The sequence below is a fragment of the Homo sapiens genome, chromosome 4 (assembly GCF_000001405.40).
Source record: "Homo sapiens chromosome 4, GRCh38.p14 Primary Assembly".
Lineage (NCBI taxonomy): Eukaryota > Metazoa > Chordata > Mammalia > Primates > Hominidae > Homo > Homo sapiens.
The window spans coordinates 68046626-68052986 of NC_000004.12; the positions used below are offsets into that span (position 1 = coordinate 68046626).

The 6361-nt window shown below is 34.5% G+C and overlaps 1 pseudogene; it reads right to left on the reverse strand.

The window, feature by feature from the left end:
- Positions 3081-3853, reverse strand: MTND2P41 (MT-ND2 pseudogene 41; annotated as a pseudogene).

The window sequence follows — 6361 nt, forward strand, 5'->3', positions numbered from 1 at the left end:
GATAATCTCTTCTGTTCTTAGTATGGTTAGCACCAAGGTGAGAGGAGAGAGCATGGGCTAAGTACCAGTGCTGAGGTGAGTGTTGCCTTGTTGGAACAACAGGGCAGAAAAATGTTTTTAAAAGAAAAATAATTGGCCAGTCATGGTGGCTCACGCCCTTGATCCCAGCACTTTGGGAGGCTGAGGCGGGCAGATTACCTGAGGTCAGGAGTTCAAGACCAGCCTGACCAACATGATGAAACTCCATCTCTACTAAAAATACAAAAATTACCTGAGCGTGGTGGCGCATGCCTGTGATCCCAGTTACTCAGGAGGCTAAGGCAAGAGAATCGCTTGAATCTGAGAGGCAGAGGTTGCAGTGAGCAGAGATTGCACCATTGCACTGCAGACTGGGTGACAAGATCCTGCCTCAAAAAAAAAAAAAAAAGAAAGAAAAGGAAAAAAGAAAAAGAATTATCTGGTGTCATCAATAGCACAACTGAAATGAGACAGTCCAAATTACTATGGTGTTAATACCTATGGTTGAATTAATTTTCTGTAACTTTGCTCACTTCTACCAGGCACAGAAGAAGAGCCACTGAATTATGAGATTGACCTAGGGCTGAGAGTTTGTTGGATTGGTAGCCTGCAAGCTAAGGACTAGGAAGGTGACCATTATAGTGATAGAAAACCAGTTTATGACATCTAAAATGAAGTTCCACAGGTTTGTATGAAAAGTGTGGTTTTTAAGAGTTAGACATACTATGATACTATGGAGCCTCTGAGACATTTAATAAATCAGAACATCAGATATCTAGAGTGAAACAAAAGTTAAAGTCATTTGAATTTATGAGCTCAAAGAATTAAGGATAGGTGTGGATCATCCGCTTGGATTTTGAAATTGACCACGATGAAGAGATGAGTTGGGTGGAGAGGTTTGTGTTGAGTCAGGTGCCTAGTCCCTTAGTAAATGTGGGGAGTGAGCAAGAGGGTGACCGTAATTAGGGGTGGCAATGTGTGGTACAGCTATAGGCATGAACATCAGGGAAATACATTTTTATACTACTGTGCAGCAAAAATTGTTAGAAGACTACACAAGTCTTCTAACAATTTGAAAGCTTGTAGTTGGGTGTTGGAAGAATTCTGACTTAGTATTAAAGCCAGGGAGAATAAACAATCACTTGAGATGGCTAAAACAAAGTGATGTTTTAGATAGTGACATCCAGACTTTAGTAAGATGACGTGGAAGCATTCCGTGGAGAGGCTGAAGGTATAGGAGCATTTTAATGAAAGGGAGCAAGGAGGACTCAGTGAAACCAGCTGGGAAAGAGGGTGCTAAAGAGATGTTAAACCAGTGGAGGAGAGAGTGGTATGGGGTAAAGGGGGAGAAATCACACTCATTATTGGTAAGGAACAAAATAGGGGAAATGACAAGTGGTCACAGAGTGTTCATTGGTGCATAGAGTGGGGAAGGGCAGGATGCCATACTTATGGTTCCTGGTCCTGATATTAAATTTAATTGACAACAGACTAGCCTAATGTCCTGGGCTAGGTCTCTGTGCCTTAACTATTTGATGTATCATAGACATCAAAACTGACGGTTACATACAAAATATGGTCATAAAATATATAATTTAAGGTGGAGAAATACATTTTATAATGCTATTATGTCAATTTGTGAAATAAATGCATTCATATATACACGAATTAGAAAATAAAATTAAAAATAGTTGTGTTAAGTTGGTACAATTGCGTGCTCTCCCCCCATCAGTAAGTAGGTGTCATAATGTTTCTTTAATATTTTTCAAAGGTGGTGAATAATCCATTTTCTTTACTTCTTAAAAAATAATCTTTGTTCTGAATTACAGCTATTTTTTCATCAAATAGCTTAGTAGTTGTCTTTCCAATAGTTTCTTCTTTATTCTTAGATTATTTTTCCTCTCCATTTTTAAATTTCCCCTTTTCTCATAGTGAATTCTAGCCTGTTCGTTAAACCTTTGAATCCACTTTTCCTAAAGATTATCAATATAGGACAAACACTAAGGATAAAAATGCTAACATTATATAAAATCTTATTTACAATCTTAACAAATGTGTGGCATTGTCTGTGCTGAAATCAGTTTATAATAATATGCTTTACACTTATTTTTTTTTTTTTTGAGATGGAGTCTCGCTCTGCCGCCCAGGCTGGAGTGCAGTGGTGTGATCTCAGCTTACTGCAACCTCCGCCTCCTGGGTTCAAGTGATTCTCCTGCCTCAGTCCCCTGAGTAGCTGGACCTACAGGCGCGCACCACCATGCCTGGTTAATTTTTCTGTTTTTGTAAAGACGGAGTTTTGCCCTGTTGGCCAGGCTCATCTCGAACTTCTGACCTCAAATGATCCACCCGCCTCAGCCTCCAAAGTGCTAGGATTACAGGCCATCTTCCTCATTTCTTATTAGTCATAGTTAAAACCTTAAGGCAAGGAATATATTGAAACCTGTAAAAGAATGTTAACTGTAAGCATTTACAAAAGTGGCTTAATCAAAACTTGTTTATTTTTTGCATTTTAGTGGGCTTCTATAGTTTTTTTTTTTATAAAACAGATATTCTGAAAAAGTAAAGAGTAAAACAGATATTCGGTGTTTTAATAAGGCTTGAAATCTTTTGCTGCCTTATTTTAAAATATGGTGTGGATATTTTATTTCTATCATATTAAGGCTTTAAATTACTTCAAAATTTAAAAAATTATAACTGTGGGGAAAGTGAGAAAAGGATGGAATACGGTATGAATTTGGGGGGTAAACTTCCCATGAAGTATTATGATCTGCCTATTTAACTAGCTTAGTAGCTTTGCCTACACTCTATTCATCTTCTGTTTCCTTAGGTATAGTTGAATATGGTTTTAAGTAGGTTGTTGTCTTAATCATAAAACTGGTTTGGTCCAACAATATACTTTGCAGAACACCATGTAAGTTTAGCTTACTTCACTTTTTTTTTTTTTTTGGCATCCAATTGATGTGAGATAAGATCTTGCAATTCTTATTATTGAATTACAGAAATTAAGCATAATTTACTTACTTAGGGCTTTGAGGATTCTTGGTCTGATTTAACCTAAGTTTCTAGTTTAATATCTAAAATATTGGTGAGATTGGCAGGAATAGGGCTGAGGTAATAATGAATGGTGGTAGGAGGAGGATCTGTTTTATGTTTTAAAATTGCAATTTTAATGTTATTAGTTGTTGGGAACATCATTAGTGATGTGGAATAAATTAGATGTATATAAAAGTACAGGTTGAGAAGAGCTATGATAGCAATGAATGTAGGTATAATGAGGCTATTATTTTTTGTTATTTCTTGAATGATAGCTCATTTGGGTAAAAATCCTGTTAGCAGGGGCAGTTCTCCTAAGGATAGTAGAATAACAAGGATTATAGATGTTAGTGATGGTCATTTATTTCACATACAGGATAGTGATAATGTTGTGTTACTTATATTTGCAATGAGTAGTATAAATATGGTTACTGTTAATATTAGGTAAATTGTAGATTTGAGAGTGATGGTGGGGATGTAAATTAAAATTGCGATTACTCAACCTATGTGGGTAACTGATGAATAGGCTAGAATTTTTTATTGTGTTTGAGTCCTCCTCAACCTCCTACTCGAATGAATAGTACTGCAATTGCTAATAGTATATTTAGGTCTATTGAGGAAAAGATTTAGAACATAATAGAAATTGGGGCTAGTTTTTGTCATGTAAAAAGAATCACAGCTGATGTTGGGGAAATCCCTTGTGTTACTTCTGGAACTCAGAAGTGAAAGGAGGAATTCCCAGTTTCATTGCTAAAGTTACAATAATTATTGGAGATGCTGTTTGGTTTAGCATATTTATAACTACTAGGAGAAACTAGTTTGGCAGTAGTCATTTAAGTTTAGTGACTTGTAGGTCTGCAATGATCCTGCCTACTGAACCTGCATAACTCAGGTTAGAATAGTGGAGAAAAGACTGGACTGGATACTAGGGCTCTTAGATTCTGTTCCTCCACTATCTAAAATCCACTGTATAACCTTGCAGGAATTCTCTTGGCCTTGATTTCACATCAGTCAAAAGAGGAGGTTGATGTAGATAATCTCTTAGGTCTCTCACAGCTCTAATAGCTACGATTCTAGCTTTCAAGTTTATTTTTCATTTTCATGATTGCATGAAGAGATTCCTTGCATACCTCCTTTGTCCATCAAATAAATACATTAACAAAGAAATAAGTTTATTCAGTGAAAAGAATAAATTACTATTAAAATGTTTTTGTTTTTCATATTGTTGTTGAATCATATAGATTTCACTGAGAGATGGTCAGCTATTGGCAACAACTTTGGTCTAATATTGTTCTAGCATTATAAACTAACTAGAGTTCTCATGCCACCCAAAATTCCATCAGGACTGCACAGAGATTATGAGCTGCCTTATTTATTGTCAGCTTAATGGATTTGACCTGTATTTTAAAAAGAGTCATACAAATTATAAGTTTTTGTCTATGAAAATATATGAATATTACTATAGCATCATCACACAGGAGGCAAAGTCTGGTTTTTTTTTTACGTTTTAGGATTTTTTTTGTTTTGTTTTTAACCACAAATATATTTTCAAACTTCACAAAGCATAAAAATGCCAATACTGTACAAAAATCCAAACTTCTTTAAAATCTTAATGGATTTTCAGCATCATCCGAAATGATATCAGTTTACAATGACATACTTTGCATTTTTGAGTAAGTTTTGAACATTCATAGAATTTTCAACTTTATTATTCATCTCAAAAGTCTCACAACAATGCCATAAGGTAGACAGCTTAAGGTCCCATTTGGAAGATGGAAAACATGAGGTAAAAAACATTACATGATTCCTACAAAACCAATCAATAAGTCAGACACCTAAATAGAAATAGGACATATAAATTCTGTTTAAAAAATCCACTTTTCCATTATTGGATTTTCTTATAACCTTGTGTATTTATTTCTCTCATTTGTGCTTAAATATCATTGAATTCAATTGAATTAAGCACAGAAATATTTAAATCAGTATACACAGTTTCACAGATACTTATTCACAAAAAGGTATCACAGTCTTATTAAATATAAATAAAATTACACAAAACACATATTCACGGTTATAGAAATTACATAGAGGAAAGTAATTTTTTGGTAGTCAGATCTGCTTTCCTCTATCTACTAAAGGAAGTGTTTAGTTTTAATATAAAATATGTTCATCATCAATCAAGCCCATCTTTAATATGCTAAACATTCTCAAAAACTTTAAATGTTTCTGTGCTATATGCAAACTGTAGGAGTTTAAGTGAAGGACATGTAAGAATTTAAGTTTTTACTCTGTTTTCTCTGGTGGTAGTTACTCCTAGTCATTGACTCAGAAATTCGATGACATTTCATTTTTAAAGAGGAAATGTGTATGATAAGCTTTTTGTGTTTATATCTTACTGAGATGTGAATAATAACTGGGAGATATTTTTAGTTGTATTTCTCTCAATTACATATAAACACATATAAACACATGTACATGTAAACTAACAAAATTTTCCAACACTAGGGAAATGAATAGTCTAGATTTTTCTCTAATAAATCAGAGCAGCAAATCTAATCTCACATTTGAGGTCTATAGAAATACGGATGCATCTCTGTAGTCAGAACTATGGTGACAGATGATTGTCACATCCTATGACTACTTGTCTATAAGCAGACATAGTGCAAAATATATTAATAAGGCATAAAAGTGATTTTGAAAAAATTATAGTAGTTCACCGAATTTGTCTTACAACGTAATTCAAAGTACTTTGAAATCAATTACATGGCTTTAAAGAAGCAAAGATCAATTTTTTGAAAGTATAGTAAGTTTTATTGAGTCTAAAGCACATTATTAATGATAAATAGTAGCTAATCCATGAGACACTACCGTGTGCAGACACTATTGCAAGTGTTTTACTTGTGTTAATTCATTTAATTCTCAAAACAACTATTATGAGGTAGTACCACTTTTATTCCCATTGTAGAGGTGAAAGAGTTAATGAAGAGAGATGTTAAGTAACTTCAGCAAGGACACACAGCTCCTATGAGGCAGAGACGATGTTTCAACTTGAGGAGCCTGGTTCAAAGTCCATGTTTTCTATCACTATTACCATCATTAGGATTTGGGCCGTATGTACCACTTATTTGAAAAAAAATTGAGCTCATTTATCTTAAAGCTTGCCAAGGCATTCATTTCCATATAACAAAGATTTATTTAGTTCATAGTATATGCAAGGCACTGTCCTACGTGCTTTACACAAAGCTTTACACAAATCAGCTCTGATATTCTGATAGACACCTGACCTGATACTCTGATGGACATCTGACTT